Source organism: Homo sapiens, chromosome 5 (genome assembly GCF_000001405.40).
Source record: "Homo sapiens chromosome 5, GRCh38.p14 Primary Assembly".
Classification (NCBI taxonomy): Eukaryota; Metazoa; Chordata; class Mammalia; order Primates; family Hominidae; genus Homo; species Homo sapiens.
The window spans coordinates 34,217,624-34,236,629 of NC_000005.10; the positions used below are offsets into that span (position 1 = coordinate 34,217,624).

The window sequence follows — 19,006 nt, forward strand, 5'->3', positions numbered from 1 at the left end:
CTATATCCAGATGCAAGGAATGCTGGGAAATGTGGTATTGTGCACAGCTAAAGTTGGGATTATGTTAGTGAAAATGAGACCATGAACACTGGAAGGTTAAAAGCAATCTCTCATGACATATACAATACAGAAATTAAATTAAATCTTTAAGCAATGTGATAAACCTATGGAATGTTAACAGGCAAAAATAGCAACATTAAAAATTACAGTGAGGGAATAAGGTATGATTCGTTTGTAGATGGTTGGTGTGTCATTAATCTAGGCAAAAAGTGATAAACTCCTCTAACAGTGACCAAATGTATAAAAGAAATAATAATACACACTATGGCTAACAACATTCCATTTTGGCCTATTTACTGTTGTTAAGTCTCTATGGTTAGCATCAGAAATGTACAGTTATGATAGCCTATGACCTCAACATGTTCAGTTTGATAGTAGAAAGGACAACATAAAGACAAACCAATCAACAAATAAGAATAAAAACTGTTAAAAAAGGACAATATTATCATAAGAACATAAGGATGTGATAATGTATTTGATATATCGTTTATTTATTGTTTTATAGTTTGATAATACATATAAATTTACTGCTCCTTCAATGTTAGAATCAATAGAATCATAGCAGAAGTAATTAAGCAGATAAAGATCAAAACGTCACCTTTATTACTTACTGTTTGAAAAATAGTCTAAGGCTGGTTTTACAGGGTTGCTCCTATCCATCACCTGATGTGAAGTTTCTTAGGAAGCTTCAGGACTACACCAAAGAAGCAGAACCTGCTCTTTCACTCTGTTGCATTGTGTGGAGTGCAGGCCATCATGACTGCTCTCTGCAAGAAAAAGAAAGGAAATAATTAAGAAACGCACAAAAGTTTGTGAATTGAGAATCGCAAAATAGGTATGAAATTGGTTAGCTTTCTAAATTCACCAATCTCATAACTAACACCTGTCCCCATGCAGTGAATGAGTAAAGGATGGACAGAGTCCATAATGATTATTCTAGGGAAAGCCTTCTGAGTAGAAAGAGGAGAGTTTTGCGAACAGTTTTGTACAGTTTACTCTTGTTTATGCACTGATAATAAATAAGAGTTCCTAAAATTCTCTCTAGAACTCTAGGTAAACGAGATATTTCACTGCCCATGCTGTGTGACCTTCATGTCCCATCTGCCTAGACTGTAAATATGCTTTCTGAATTTTAAAAGAATTAGTATACTATGCTTACATTAAGCAAAAAAGTACCCTTATTATGCAGGATCAAGTAACACTCTAAAGATTCATGTTTATGAAAAAACACTGATGATTCTATTTTATTATGTGTCTTCTAAAGAGAAAAATACTTGTGCTCTGCAGCATAATTTTACAATGTGCTATTCTAAATACTTTCATTTAAACAAGATCATTATGAAGATGTTTTGCACACAGAAATATATTTTGAATACTTTTTTTAAAAGATCACAAAGTATATGGTCTCTGTACGTGTTCAATTATTTTAATGCTTTCACTATAACAGGAATTCTTAAAGAGGATATGTATTTGCATAATGCTGATAGTCCTTTCTCATTTCTGTTTGTGCTCTGGCTGTTGTTACAACCACTGAAAGTAGTAATTACATGAGTGTATTATCCATGATTATCTTTAGATATATGTGCATTTTCTTTAATTAAACTATAAACTCTAAATGAAAAATAAAAAAGAAGTCACCTCTTGTCTCTTTGTACAATATTAAAATTTTTTTCTTGTATCCAGAGTTTCCCAAATGCCTGTTGCAAAATTTTACTTAGGGAGTAGAAAGTGGAGAATCAATATGGTAAAAAAAAAAACTGTGTTACAGGGAAGGAGACACAGGGTAAGCATTTTCCTTATCTTCTCTCCTGTATCTACGTGCTGCACAAGCATAAATGATAGCAGTCACATGAACGAGTACTTTTCAAGAACATAGAATATTGTGATGGAAAAAAAAAAACCGCTTTGAAACATCGAATAATATAAAAGCCAGAACTACTACAACTGTTTTTTACATCCAAAGAAGGTAAACTATTTTTAGATATAAAATTCCTTCTAACAGTGGTCCTGATCATTTAACCAATATTTTGATAAAAGAAGGGAAAAATGGACATTCAGTCCAAAGATGGGCATGTATTCCCATGCCTAGTCAGGCAAAACTTGTGGATGTTCTTTAAAATAACAATTCATTCAACAAATAATTTTTAAATGGCTACTGAATACCTGGAAAGGTTCTAGACACAGGGGCTATACTAATAAACAAGAAGGAACTAATTGACAAGAATGTGCTCACTGACAATGAAACATCTCCTCATGGAGCTTCAGTTCTATTTGAAAAGACAGAGAACAAAAAAATATTATTGCACAGTGTTAGTTATGTGTGAATTAAAAGACTGGTCAGTACTTGAAGGAGAAGGAGTGACAACAAATCTCACTTCCAGTTCTATTTACCTGAACAGATTAATTCTATTTTGTTTCAATGCAACAGTAGTCCTACGGTTAACAAGATGCACTACACAAAGCAAACAACTTATAAAATGCATTTTTTCCTTACATTGCAAATCAATTTTAAGTGGATCTACAAATATACAATAAATAATATAAATTAGGGATCGTTTGTTTCTAAGGTAATAAGTAGATTTGTTAATTCCACATAAATAATTTCAGAAGGAGAGCAAATGTAAAAATGTGTTTTAGACAGTGGAGATGCCATTTTATTGTAAGACTATTTATACTCAAAGGTCAAAGTAATGAGCTTTCTATGTCAATGATCGTCCTTCTCTATTTCACCCAGTTCCAGACAAACCCAAGTCTTCCAAGTCTCTTCATATATCTGATCCAATAAAATCTATAATGAGTTCAGTTAGCATACACACACACACACACACACACACACCACACACGCACAAGCACACACACACACACGACTGCATTGAAATACTTGCTCTAGGGAAGGAACATAGTGTATATGCAACTTGTGTACTTTCTAAGTATGGAAAGACTAATCCTTTAACAACTGCATTTACTTTCTTTCACTTCTATCGTTGCTATCTACTCCTCAGAAATCTACTTAAACCAATAAATATATATGATGTTGTTATGAGAGTTTTGGAAATAATTCCTAAAAATTTGCATGGCTGCCTCTTTATATTTGGCAGCTTCTATCACCCATGGGAACAACCCCTACAGAATGATCAGAATATAAAGCATGTGAGCCCTGGGTTTCTCAGGCACTGGAAGGACCTGTCAGAATCCTCTCAGGTGGGTCAAAATGGCCGGGCTTTATACCTCATCTCCATTCATGTTTGCATGTCCAGTGCTCCAGGATGACCTAACATTCAGCCAGACAATGGTTACAGCTGAGGCAAACTTTGAAGGAGCTGAAAGCTGAAGGCTGCTTTGTAATATTGCTCCTAGCAGCCAAGGGGGAAAGAAATCTTTTCTTGAAGAGCGATCTGTGTCCATAGCAAAATGTTTTTTTCTTAGCTCTTGTAAAATCGAAATTGTTTGCTTTTGAATTTTTTTAAATGATTCCTTTAAGATTCTTCATACCAAGATATCACAAGGTCAAGGAATTTTATAAAGAAGTATTTCTATTTATGTCATTTCCTATATTTATCTATACATAAATCAGCACTAAAACATGCCTTTGATACTAACAACTTGATTGGTTTGTGAACCAAATCTGTCATGCAAATACATACGGCTGTTTTTAGATAAATTCTAAAGGTATTACCAAATCATTTAATTTTATTGTGTATCTCAATATTCTGGTTGATGTATAAGTTTAAATAGAACAAACTATTTGACATTGAAATGTTCTTTATCAAAGGAGAAGGAATACAATTTTAAAGCCATAACGAGTGACACATAGTTCTGAATGATTTATTAGCTGTCTGCCAGTCTGAAATGGCTGCCAGTCAATGTTACATGTGACATCTTTCAGATAGTGTGAACTCTTTTATGCAAGTACCTTTCACTATAAAATTACAGCTGAAGATGATGAAGAGAAAACTGTGGTGTTTATCTTAATGGGCTGAAAGACCTATTTCAACAGTGACAGTAATTCAGAAAAATAGTCTGAAGTCTAGTATTTCAATAATGTTATTTTCATAGATTTTAATCTCTAAAGACAATGCTTCAGTTTTGTAGAAAATGACTTTTCTAATCATCCTGGATTTCAAAATTCTTTCCATTACTTAATATTTAAATCACTGGCAGAACTTGGCATGAGGACTAGAGACCTGTCACCAAGCAGCCGGTCATTTTTCTTGGCTTCTCATATGCCATGCCCAGCAATAGAGCATTTCTTAGGGGCTGAGGAATAGCAGCAGTGCTAAACACAGAGATGACATTAACAGGAATGAGAGGGTCCAAGCTGTTTTCCTAGACTAATTCTCATTCAGCCTGAATCAAAGCATTTTCCTATCATTATTATAGATATTTCGCTTGTGGTATTATCTATCTTTTGGCAATGTTGATTTTTTTGTGATTATCCAAATAAGTAATGTTAATGGAAAAAATCAGATATTAGGGGAAAAAAAACTCTAGAAATAAATGTTAACCCAAGACAATAACAATTCAATTAATTTATATGATACCTTAGGGATTGTGTCAATTATTTTTTAAATGAAATTCTAAAAATTCAACACCTGTGTTTTCTCCTATGATTACATATTCAACTAGGGCACAATTGTAAATGGTTGTATTTGGTTGAATTTTTAGATTGTTTATAAGTTTTACTCTTGCAGACAATAATAATGGAGTTTCTTTGAAAATAAATTTAGTTGTTCTATAACCAAGGCATAAATATTCAATTCAATAAAATTAGCAAAAATATTAAATGAAAAGTATATTATATATAAAATGCATAAATAAAATATCCTGCACTGATCATTTTATGTCTATGGTTACCCTATTGATTCTGTGCACATTTGCATATGGGTATATATGCAATTTCATAAAATGAAGTATTCATAGTGTACATAAATTTAGTAATTACTTTACCCCTTAAAAGTATATGCAATGAGTGTCACTTATATATAAATTCTGTTAACGTGGAAGAAGAATGTTAGTCAAAAAAACTACGAATTTAACAATTTTCTGGTTAATTCAAAGGGCTTTCCAAAAATGTCTTTTAAAATTCAATTTCATATATTTTCTCATAGCAGAATATGAGAATGAATCCTTTTTGCTGCAAACTGGCTAGCAATAAATTTTTATTTTTATTATTTTAATTCTGTGAATTTCGGGAATGGAGTCTCATTCAGTATAAATATTATAATACTAATGAGATTGACTCCCTCCTTCTTATTAACAGTGTGCATTTTTACCCTCAGTGATTCAGTGCATGGTGTAGTGCTATAATTAAAAATGAACATTTTTTTAAAAAATGTTATTTTCTTATTACTATATTTCAAGTTTTAGGGTACATGTGCACAATGTGCAGGTTAGTTACATATGTATACATGTGCCATGCTGGTGTGCTGCACCCATTAACTCGTCATTTAGCATTAGATATATCTCCTAATGCTATCCCTCCCCCCTCCCCCCACCCCATAACAGTCCCCAGCGTGTGGTGTTCCCCTTCCTGTGTCCATGTGTTCTCATTGTTCAATTCCCACCTATGAGTGAGAACATGCAGTCTTAGGTTTTTTGTCCTTGTGATAGTTGACTGAGAATGATGATTTCCAATTTCATCCATGTCCCTACAAAGGACATGAACTCATCATTTTTTATGGCTGCATAGTATTCCATGGTATATATGTGCCACATTTTCTTAATCCAGTCTATCATTGTTGGACATTTGGGTTGGTTCCAAGTCTTTGCTATTGTGAATAGTGCCGCAATAAACATACGTGTGCATGTGTCTTTATAGCAGCATGATTTATAGTCCTTTGGGTATATACCCAGTAATGGGATGGCTGGGTCAAATGCTATTTCTAGTTCTAGATCCCTGAGGAATTGCCACACTGACTTCCACAATGGTCGAACTAGTTTACAGTCCCACCAACAGTGTAAAAGTGTTCCTATTTCTCCACATCCTCTCCAGCACCTGTTGTTTCCTGACTTTTTAATGATTGCCATTCTAACTGGTGTGAGATGGTATCTCATTGTGGTTTTGATTTGTCCTCTCTCACCACTCCTATTCAACATAGTGTTGGAAGTTCTGGCCACGGCAATTAGGCAGGAGAAGGAAAGAAAGGGTATTCAATTAGGAAAAGAGGAAGTCAAATTGTCCCTGTTTGCAGATGACATGATTGTATATCTAGAAAACCCCATTGTCTCAGCCCAAAATCTCCTTAAGCTGATGAGCAACTTCAGCAAAGTCCCAGGTTACAAAATCAATGTACAAAAATCACACGCATTTGTATACACCAATAACAGACAATCAGAGAGCAAAATCATGAGTGAACTCCCATTCACAATTGCTTCAAAGAGAATCAAATACCTAGGAATCCAACTTAAAAGGGATGGGAAGGACCTCTTCAAGAAGAACAACAAACCACTGCTCAATGAAATAAAAGAGGATACAAAGAAATAGAAGAACATTCCATGCTCATGGGTAGGAAGAATCAATATGGTGAAAATGGCCATACTGCCCAAGGTAATTTATAGATTCAATGCCATCCCCATCAAGCTACCAATGACTTTCTTCACAGAATTGGAAATAACTACTTTAAAGTTCATATGGAACCAAAAAAGAGCCCGCATCGCCAAGTCAATCCTAAGCCAAAAGAACAAAGCTGGAGGCATCACGCTACCTGACTTCAAACTATACTACAAGGCTACAGTAACCAAAACAGCATGGTACTGGTACCAAAACAGACATATAGATCAATGGAACAGAACAGAGCCCTCAGAAATAATGCCACATATCTACAACTATCTCATCTTTGACAAACCTGAGAAAAATAAGCAATGGGGAAAGGATTCCCTATTTAATAAATGGTGCTGGGAAAACTGGCTAGCCATATGGAGAAAGCTGAAACTGGATCCCTTCCTTACACCTTATACAAAAATTAATTCAAGATGGAGTAAAGACTTAAACGCTAGACTTAAAACCATAAAAACCCCAGAAGAAAACCTAGGCATTACCATTCAGGACATAGGCATGGGCAAGGACTTCATGTCTAAAACACCAAAAGCAATGGCAACAAAAGCCAAAATTGACAAATGGGATCTCATTAAACTAAAGAGCTTCTGCACAGCAAAAGAAACTACCATCAGAGTGAACAGGCAGCCTACAAAATGGGAGAAAATTTTCGCAATCTACTCATCTGACAAAGGGCTAACATCCAGAATCTACAATGAACTCAAACAAATTTACAAGAAAAAAACAAACAACCTCATCAAAAAGTGGGCGAAGGACATGAACAGACACTTCTCAAAAGAAGATATTTATGCAGCCAAAAAACACATGAAGAAATGCTCACCATCACTGGCCATCAGAGAAAAATGAACATTTCAAAGACAGATTATGTGCTTCCAAATGCCAAATCATCACTAAATAGCTCTGTGGCATAGAGGAAATTTCACAACCTTTTAGTGCCCCAATTTTGTGGAAGAATGGTTAGGAGGCTATTGCAATAACAAAAGAAAATTTGAATAGCTGTATCCAACATGAAAAGATTGCTAGTAGAATTAAATGAGTTATATAGGTAAAACAATCAGGGAAGTAATTAAAGAGAATCTGCACTAACATTGTTTTGTTAATTTAAAATATCTCTACACAATCCTTTGATTCATTTGGAATTCGTTTTAGTGTATTTTAGAAAATAAGGTTTATTTTTTATTTTCTCCCAAAACAATACTTCAAGACAACTTTTCAAACAGTAAATTCCTTCTTTGTTTATAATATGTATTTTAATAAACTGACTTATCTTCATGATTTCTAGGACATCTGTTCTATCTAATCTATTGTTCAGCATTCGTCTGAGTATTTTCTGGGCAGCAATTGACCCCTCTGTACCTCTGAGTGCCCACATTTCCTTGATCCATTTCACCTTGCTGATCAATCCTTCTTTACTCATAGTCTAAATTTTTTTTTAGAAATTCTGAGAGTGCCCCAAACCTTGGTCTTGGGTCTTCCTTCAATCTTATTTGTCTTTCCACCTGATCTTAATTATTTACATCACATTATACCCTATCTTTATGGTGACAAATCTCAAATTATCTCTCTGACCTAAACTTATCATTAAAGATTTGGTTGCAACTTATTAAGAAGTCAGGTTCAATGTAATACATGCATTGTTGATTTAATATGCTCATCAAAATATTTAAAATTTTATTTGAATGCAAAAAAATAAAGCTTTTAATTTTATCTCCTATTTAATAATTTTGAGAAAAACATTATACCAATCATTACTAATTATTGCTGGCTTTTAAAATATTATCTGATTAAATATTTTTGACTTTGAAAAATGGTAACAAATGCTTCTCTCTTTCTTGTCCCCTTGAACCATACTTGATATTGCTTTTTCCAAATCCGGGCCACAAGTTCAGAATATAACCTGTTAAAATATCTTCTATGTATAAACTATCTTTAAATTTTCTTGAGAGAATACCGACTAACCAAAAGCATTGCTCCTTCACCCTACAAAAGAGAGAAAAATTTAAAAATCCCATTAATTTGTTATTTTAAATGGTAATTAAAGCTATTGTGAGGGCTCTTTTATCGGCCAAACTTGTGAACAAAAAACAGCTCAAATTTATGTGTAAATAAAATATACTGAGATGAAGCCTTTCATTTAATGTGTGATTTTCAGTTCAAAAAAACACACTGATGTTCAAGAACAAAGACTGGTACAATAACTATCTACAAAATGCTTTTGTTACTAGATTTTAATTCCTTCATCAAACAGACACAGTCAAAGTTGATAGTGTCACTAGATCTAGAGGTCTATCAATATCCTTCCCACCATTTAATATGTTCTTAATCTCAGGGAAATTCTAAATCATATTCTTCTCAATTGTACAGTTGACTCCTGAACAACACAAGGTTTAGGGGCATCAAACCTCCCTAACCCCTCCCCACCACCCCAGCACAGTCAAAAATTCACATATAACTTTGGACTCCCCAAAACTAAACTAAGAGCCTACTGTTGACTGGACAATCCTTAACACATATTTCGTATGCTGTATGTATTTTACACTGTAGTTTTACAATGAAGCTAGTTACAGAAAAGAAAGTGTTATTAAGAAAATTATAGGGAAGAAAAAATACGTTTACAGTACTACAGTATATTTATTTCTCTCATAAGTTTACAATCCTGTGTTTACAAGATGGATCCTTCTTCTGAAATGGCAGCACACACAGCTGCAGACCTCAATCTAGGGTACCTATCAAGCAATTGATTGTTTTCCTGTAATGTCAGGACCCTTCTCTGTTTCCTGGAAGAACTTTCAGCATCACTAGCAGCACTTTTTATAGGTCTGAAGGTGTTATTCAAGGTTTATGGTATTGCACTAGACATCATGAATAATACAGGAGAAACATGAGAGAACACTTTTTACTGTGTTAATTTACTGGAGAGACAAGCTACTCACAAGAAGATGATTAGCATTATGTGGCATTTTAAGTGAATACTCACAACACTTGAGTTCACTGCAAGAACAACAGGTGGAGGCTAGGAAATTATCCCAGTAGTACAGTATGTACTACAGTTAATTTTGTGCAGTTATGATTTACTTTTGTATATTTTTGTTTTACTTTTCTCTAAACTTCAATTGGCTGCATGTATGCTCTGTGTGTGCCTACGTCTTGATAAATTTTAACTTTTTATAATAGATGCATATATATTTCATTGTATTAAATGATCACTAGTATCTACATATAATTTATGCATTCATGGACTTATCATTTTCTTAGTTTTTTAATATTGCTTGTGTAGATGGGTCACCTGTTATCTTTTTCAATTTTTCATAAATCTCCAAAAATTTTCTAATATATTTATAGGAAAAAATCTACATATGAGCGGACCCGCACAGTTCAAACCTGTGTTGTTGAGGAGTCAACTATATATTATAATTTAAGAGAGGATTCAACTCTTTCATTCTACTGGCAATGGGTTAACATAAACTTTAGTCAGAACTGCTGAGCTTTTCTGGCACAATGAGGACAAATTGACCAATGTATTTAACCAATAGCTGGGGGAAAATTTTGCTAAAATTGGTAAGTATATCTTTATATAACTATATCCTTACAACTTGTCTCAACCTTCGTCAGATTAATCCTAGCAAAACTGTAAAATGTCTCAGTAAAAATCTAAATGAATTTTTCATAACAAGTGCTGGCAACAGATTTTAAATATGTTCTGATCATTATTTGTCTCTTGTTGGCATGGAGAAAATCCTTTTTTTTTTTTTTTCAGCCTGGGGAATCCCAAACTATATCTCTAGTAACAAGGAAACCATTTTACCGGAATTTTTATTAACTAACATGGAAAAGTTTTGTCAATTAATCAGACTTCACTGTCCATATCACTTTCAACCTTTTCGGAAGGTAGAAAGATGGAATTCTGAAACTAAAGTTGGTAAAGTTCACAGAGATCGTCAAACTTGCATGGTCTAAGGTATTTCTTCTTTCTGTGGTTCATAAGTTAGTAACAGCTAAACCAAGTGTCTAGGAATATTAGCTCTGATTCTAGAAATCTACACTTATTTAACTAAATGCTGTAAGGACTCAGGAAATCCATTCTTTCAACAAAAGTTACTGAAGACTTTCCCCATTAGTATCCTAAACAATGTCTGCAAAATTGGTTTTCATACCTGGATACCTTGTCTTCTAAGAGACACGGCAGGGAAAGATCATAGGAAAAAAGTCAATATCAGGCACAGCTAACAACTAGCAAACCCATAGTCTTTAAAAGACTGATCCTTTGATTCCTATCTCTCAAGTAAAGAGGTTTAGGTCATCTTCATATTACAGGAAAGTATCCCTACCAAAAACTTCTAACTAATGACTCTTAGGATTCTTCCAAAAGCAAATAGTCTTTGGGAGAAGACAGCTTCCATCAAATGCCTTTGGATCAAGTGAATCACTATATGAGATATCGGTATCTGCAAACCAAGATCCACATAAAAAGATCCATTGTTTGTCATATTTAATCTGCATATCTTGAGTTTTCATTTTCCTAGTTAACTTTATCTTTTTATGCTTAAGGTTACATTTAATTACTTTACCTATAAAGCTACTATTCCTAATTCCTCTATGCCGTCCTTAGTCACTCTCTAGAAGAGTCCGGAAGCTGGCCGTAATTTGTTCACAATTTGGCTAAACATGCAGTTGAATCAGTGCTAAGCTGCACACATTTTCCTTAGGATGCCAATTAGAGTTTTTTTTTTTTTAACATCGATTCCTAAATATGAAACTTCTGGGTTTATCAATAATTGGACTATTTATTGTTATTTTATCTGACAAACAGCAGAGTATTAGATAAATAGAAATCTTAAATCCTAACATGCTGCACGCAGGAAAGAAAGCTTATGCCTACAGCAGAACAGCACTTACGGATCTTTAATAGAATGCAACTTCTGTCACTAAACCTTTAGAAAGAAATGTCTTAAAAAGAAGAGAACAAATGGCACATACTTAATTCATTTCTCACATTTACATATCATAAAAAATTCTTATTACATATTCAAGCTCCTATCACATCTACCTCTTCCTCTATGTGATAAGGTCTTCATTTTATATCCCCAAAAGTGATTAATAGCAGAATGGAGCTGAAAGCAATCAATAAACTCAATCAACCTTAATGACTGCTACTGGATTTGTGGTACCAGAACCTATTGATTATTACAGCAATCTTGACATAAACTAACATATTGATGTGGTAGTCAGAATAATGGCTCTTCAGAGATGATGGGGTCCTAATCCAGATAATTTATAAGTTTGTTAGCTTACCTGGCAGGACAGAGTTTGCAAATGCAATTAGAGTTAAGGATTTTGAAATGGAGAGACTATCATAGATTTTAGATGGCCAAATGCAATCGTAAGATTCTTTACATGTAGAAGAGGGAGATATAAAAGGAGAATGTGAAGACTTGCTCCTTCATTTGTAGCTTTGAAGGTGAAGGAAAGGAACTGTTATGAACTGAATATTTGTGTCTCCCTAAAATTAATCTATTGAAGATGATTGGCATTGTTCAAATATTAATATTTTCAATAATCTATTAATTGGCAGTGTGATAGTATCTGGAGATGGAGCTTTTGGGAGGAACCTAGGTTGAGATAATGTCATAAGTGTGGTGTTCTCATGATAATGTTAGTGTTCTTATAAGAAAAGGTGGAGATACTAGACCACCTCCCACCCAACCACCCTTCTCTTTCTCTCTCCATAAACATGTATCCAGGAAAGGCCATGTGAACACAGAGAGAAGGAGGCCATCTACTAACCAGAGAGGGAGTGGGCCCTCACCATGAACCAAATATACCAGCACCTTAATCTTGGACTTCCCAACTTTCAGAACTCTGAGAAATAAACGTCAGTTGTTTAAGTCACCCGGTCTATGGTATTTTCTTACAGTATTCCAAGCTGCCCAAGACAGGGAACATGCATCAAAGAATGCAGCTGGATTCTAAAGCCTGGGAAAGGCCGGGTCATGGATTATTCCACAGAGCCTATAGAAGGAATGCAGTCTTCCAATGCTTTGATTTTAAATCAGTAAGACCTGTGTTGAACCTCTAACCTGGAATACTGCTAGACAATAAATTTATGTTGTTTTAAACTACTAAGTGTATTGTAATTTTTATAACAGCCACAGGAAAATAATACATTTGGCAAATCAGTGCATGTTTCATGATGGTCAATGATATGCCCCAGGGTCCATCTTAGTCATGATTTCTATCCCTTCAAAAACCAAAACAAAATAAAAAAGTAAAACAAAAAGACCAATTTTACCATATAACTTGATTTTTAAAAATATTTTATATTTATTTAATCCATTATATCCAAAATATTGTCATCTCAGCATAAAACAATATTAAAATTATTCAGCTTTACATTTTTTAAACTAAATCTAGTTTGTATTTTACATATAGCGTAAATCAATTCAAATTCACCATATTTCAAGTGTTCAATATCTACATGTCACTAGTAATGACTGTAGTGGACAGAATTGATCCAGATTTCCAGGTGTATTGGTATAAAACTAACCATATTTTTATCTTATTAAAACAAAACAAAACAAAACTCCTCCATAACTATGTCTATGTTCCTTTTGCTTTTATTAACATTGAACATATTCTTGTTTTTAATCTAATTTTGTCTGTATTTAGGTCTATTTTTTGGTGTTGTTATTTCTTGTATGCTTGGCATCAACTTTTTTTGCAATTTCTTAGACTATCTAAACTATTATGCTCTAAGTTTAGCTCAATTTCAATCAGCTACTCACTTTGAAAGACTCATTTAACTCTCTTAAGCCATTCTCCACAAACATGAAAAATCTTCCTCTCACTCTTCCCTGCTGAAACACTGCAAAAGTATGTCAAAATGGTGTACTTTCTTGGCACAGGGTTTCAATAAACTTAGTTTTGCTTTAATAACAAATTATCTGAATATATTTCAGGGAGTTCCACTGGTAAAAGCATAAAATCATGTTAGTTCAGGTCATCTTTTGTAAAGTTATGATTGTGCCATAGTATCAATTCTTGTCAAAATTTATGACTTCAAAATCAACTTAATATGCATCAACATAGATATTTTTTAGTTAATTCTAGACTCCAGGTGCTCATTTAAATAATATGGGTACATAAGACTGAACAAAACCAGTTGCTATTGAATGTACATTCTAGAGAAATACTTCATACACAGCTGTGTTTTGTTAAATAAGGAACTTGATGACATAATCAATATCATGGCAGCATACAACTGTTTGGTTAGTATGTCTCTTTAAACAAGCACATATGCTCATTCATGGAGTGTGTATTTGTATCTGTGTATGGTCTGTGTATGGCTAAAAGGGTCCAAGGCACTACTCAGGCCATTGCTTCAGAGAATACAAGCCTCAAGCTTTGGTGGCTTCCACATGAGGCTGGGCCTGTGGTTGTGCAGACGGGAAGAGTTGAGGTTTGGGAACCTCCATCTAGATTTCAGAGGATGTATGGAAATGCCTGGATGTCTAGGCAAAAGTCTGCTGCAGAAGTGGAGCCCTTATGGAGAACCTCTACTAGGGCAGTGCAGAGGGAAAATGTGGGGTTGGAGCCCCCACACAGATTCCCCACTGGGGCACTCCCTACTGGAGCTTTGAGAAGAGGGTCATAGTGCTTCAGACCCCAGAATGGTAGATCCACTGACAGCTTGCACAGTGTGCCTGGAAAAGTCACAGGCACTCAATCCTAGCCTGTGAAAGCAGCTGTGGGGGCTGTGCCTTGCAGAGCCACAGAGGCAGAGCTGTCAAAGCTCATGGGAGCCCAGATATTGCATCAGTATGCTCTGGACGTGAGAGATGAGGTCAAAGAAGATTGTTTCAGAGCCTTAAGATTTAATGACTGCCTTGTCGGGTTTTGGACTTGCATGGGGCCTGCAGACCCTTTGTTTTGGCTAATTTCTCCCTTATGGAATTGGAGTGTTTACCTGATCCCTGTACCCCCACTGTATCTTGAAATTAACTAACTTGTTTTTGATTTTACAGGCTTATAGGCAGAAGGGATTTGCCTTGTCTCAGATGAAACTTTGGACATGGACTTTTGAGTTAATGCTGGAATAAGTTAAGACTTTCAGTCTGTTGGGAAGGCATGATTGGTTTTGAAATGTGAGAAGGACATGATACTTGGGAGGGGCCAGAGGAGAAATAATATGGCTTGGCCCTCTGTCCCCACCCAAATCTCATCTCAAATTGTAATCCCCTCATGTCAAGACAGGGGCCTGGGTGGAGGTGACTGGATCATGGGAGCAGATTTCCACATGCTATTCTCATGACAGTGAGTGAGTTCCAAGAGATCTGATGGTTTAAAAGTGTGTGGCACTTCCCTCCTTGTGCTCTCTCTCTCCTGGTGCCATGTCAAGAAGAACCTTGTTTCCCCTTTGCCTTCCACCATGATTTTCTGAGTTTCCTGAGTCCTCCCATTCATGCTTCCTGTAAAGCCTGAAGAACTATGAATCAATTAAATCTCTTTTCTTCATAAATTACTCAGTCTCAAGTCATTCTTTATATCATTGTGAAAATTCACTACTACGGTTAGCAATCTTAAAGAATACTTGTGATTTTGAGAATCAGGCACATATTTTTTTAATAATCGGACTGCTTATAATTGTTTAACTCCTTGCAACTTACAGTTAATGCCTAAAACTTTGATGACTTTCATTACATTTCAATGGCTCTGTTCCCTTATAGCAAACTACTTTTACTGTACTTACTGTAACTACAGTGCATTTCTTTTCAGCCCAAATAGTATTCAGTAATAAACATTTCTTCCCACATAAGAATAAGTTATATTCCTATTCACTATATTCTAGAATTTCTATTTTCCTTCCACAGTGCCAGCTAAAATTAAAGTGGAATAATCTATTGGGGCCCTGTGTATTTAATGTTTGTTTTCTTAGTATATTATAAACACTGTGAAGGAAGGAAATCCTTGCCTCTTGTTTATACTTTTATCTCCATTATAGAAACACTCTGCATTATTTTCTTACTGCTGCTGTAGCAAATTACTACAAAGTTAGTGGTTTAAAATAGCACAAATATAGTGTCAAACAATTGTGTTTGTCAGATGTCTGACATGCATCTTATGAGGCTAAAATCAAAGAGTGAGAACTGTTGTGTTCCTTTCTGAAGGTTTTAGGGGAAAATCAGTTTCCTTGACTTTTCCAGCCTCTAGAGGCTGTCCTGATTTGTTAGCTTGTGGTCTTTCATTTGTTCAAACCAGAAATGCTGTATCTCTCTGACCATTCTTTTGAAATCATATCACCTTATGTTTCTAGCCAAGAATGTTTCCCTATTTTAAACCCATTTGATTACACTGAACTCAAAAGGACACTTTTTCATCTTACCATCCTTAACATTATAATACTTGCAAAGCCCCTTTTACCAGATAAAGTTAACATATTCACAGGTTCCAGAAATCAGGACATGCGTTTTTTTTTTTGTTGTTGGTTTGTTTGTTTTGTAAACCATTATTTTGCTTCCTATACTGTCTTAATTGGAGGAAGCAACTTCTTCGAATAGGTGAATTAATTTCAAATTGATAATGTGGTGATTCTGAATGAACATTAAAGAAATCAACTATTACACCAAACATTACTTTATTGAGCTAAACAAATATTAACTGACTATATGAAATTCATTACACATTTGGAGATAGAATTTTGTACTTTTTAATAAGACTTTTTACATTTTGCAATCCTTTTTCTTATTTAAAAAAATCAGTATTGTATTAGTACCCACAATATAAGTTTGTTCTAAGAATCAAATGAGATAAACATTTCAAACACCTATCATAGTATCAAGTTCATATCGTAAGCCTAAAATATCAGATGACTTTTATTATTTTCAGAATGTAGTCAAAATCAACATAAAGTTACATTAACACTTGGTTTACTGTATTATAATGCTAGCTTTGTGTCATATCTATCTAGAGAGTACACTGAATAGCTTAAACCAAGTAGAAGGTGATTTCTTGCTTACATATCAGTTTACCGTTAAGTAATTTTGGCTAAAGACGCATCTTTCCTGCAAAAAATAATTCAAGTTAATGAAGGATCTACTATTACCAAATTGTATCTTCCCAGATTACTTTGTATATATCACCATTCCAGAAGACAAAAGACTACTCATGAAATACAATTTGCACACTTCTTTATATATGAAAAATTCACTTCTCTTCACTGTGTAAACAACTTAAAGTTTTGCCCAGTTACTGCCTACAACTTAAGAGTTCAGGATGTTTCATGACGTGCAGTTCTCTCCCTTAGGCCACTATATGACTTAACGAGGACTAGTGTCCTATAAAGTCAAAACACAAATTATCTGTAAAATCTAAGTTACCATGGTGAAGCTCCTATCAGAAGACAAAGAAGTCTGCATAGCACTGACAAAAATATTTCTGAGCAATACAAATATTTATTCGATGAAACCATAAACATGTCCTGTGGAAATAACTTTAAGGTCCATTGTCCCTGTGGCTCATAGATTTACTTTCTGAGGTAATTTACATTTTCTCTTATTCTCCATGCCTCCATCTTAAAATTAGAACAATGAGTGTTTTCTCAGCATGACTAATCAATTGCACTGATTAGTGCAATTTGGGATGCTTGAGGATATTTTAAGCCTTAATTTTTTTTCTCACAATAGGCTTATTATACCTTTGCCCAGTAGTTATGTGGAAAACATTTATTTATTTATTGCATCTAGTTTATAACCAAACATACAGTTCTTTCCTAGGTATAATTCTAAAGTCTGCCTCATTTCCTTCTTTTTTCTCCTCCCCAACACACATATGCTTCTCTGACTGTAAAGATGACCACTTTAAGGTCATTTGAAATCATAGACTTGAAAGAGAAAACAACTTCCCTGATTAGTTCTTTGCTTCAGGGCTGGGTTCCTTGTTTTTTATGAACACAGTAGGATTTAATTTCTGAGCAGCTTTTTCAACCTAATCAGAAAAACCTGAGCTTTTCTGTCACTGGATAATTCCACCATTACTAGACTTTTTGTTCACAAGTGGTTTCCAACAAGGAATGATTTTGTTTCCACAGAACACTTGTCAGTGTCTGGAGACATTTTGAATTATAATGATTAGGTGGTGATGCTACTGGTATGTGGTGGTATAGCCTAGAGATACTATTAATATCCTACAATGCAAAGAATAACCTCCCACAGAATGCAGGAATATCAGGCATAAAATGTCAATAATGCTAAGGTTTAGCAACTCAACTCTATCCACTTTCTTTCCACTCTAAAGACAGGATATTTCTTTTTCTTTTTTTTTTTTTTTTTTTGCCTGTGTTTATCTATTTCTTGGATTATGGAACAGAACAAACACGAACACATTACCTTTTGCCTTTCCTCATTTCCCACACTCTTTCCTAGAGGTAATATTAAGCTTCCAATTAATTTTAGATGGTAGTTTCAATAATTTTTTTTCACTGGGTATTACAAGTCTTCATTTCAACCCTCTGAGTTTGGTTTACTTGTCCATTTAATACTAATTTAGTGGATATGTTTTAGGTGCTGTTATAGCAGACCCAACTCAAGCTGGTGATTTCTATATTACTTGGAATAGTGCTAGTTGCTTTGACAACTACACTCAACAACATATAATATCTTAAACAGAACAGAAGTTTCATTCATATAAACTGTTTTTTTAAGATAGGAAAAGCATTGCTCCTTTATGTCCGCATTCAAGAACATAGGCTACTAAGGTATTTAATCTGCAGTATGTTGCTTCCAAGACTACTGTAGAATTGGCCACTCCAGTCAAGCATACTGAAAAACGTATACAGAAGAGTGCATGTTGGGATTTTGGAGACTAAGTTGGATATAAAATATGTTATTTCTACTAATTTTCCACTATTTTGACTTTAATCCCATGCCCTAATATAAAGTATATAAGAATGAGAAATATAGTTTATGTATCTATCAAAATAGAACATAAATGTTTGTGAACATTTGAATCTGTCAGCTTCTCTTGCTCACGTGCCTGTAGTGCCTGTACTCGGGATGCTGAGGCAGGAGAATCGCTTGAACCCAGGAGGTGGAGGTTGCAGTGAGCTGAGGTCACATCACTGCACTCCAGCCTGGGCAACAGAGCGAGACTCCATCTCAAAAAAAAAAGAAGAAGAAAAAGAAGTGACTCAACTGATTGATGTGTAAAACCTCATTGTAAAATAATGTTCTATAAATGAGACATTAATACAGTTAAATTTTTGGATTAAAAAAGTCTGCCACTTTGTGAATATGTTTTATTTAGGCTTGATTTAGTTAATTTTCTTTTTTCTTTTTTCTTTTTTTTTTTTTTTTTTTTTTTGAGGAGTTTCACTGTTGCTGCCCAGGCTGTAGCGCA

At 34.5% G+C, this 19,006-nt stretch overlaps 1 protein-coding gene across 1 annotated transcript in view; it reads right to left on the reverse strand.

Moving 5' to 3' along the window:
• The window catches only part of C1QTNF3 (C1q and TNF related 3), a 226,867-nt gene that overhangs the window by 199,766 nt on the left and 8,095 nt on the right, over positions 1–19,006 (reverse strand). The window contains exon 2 of the transcript NR_146599.1: positions 672–827. The gene's annotated coding sequence lies outside the window, so the exon portion shown is untranslated. The remainder of the gene's footprint in view (positions 1–671; positions 828–19,006) is intronic.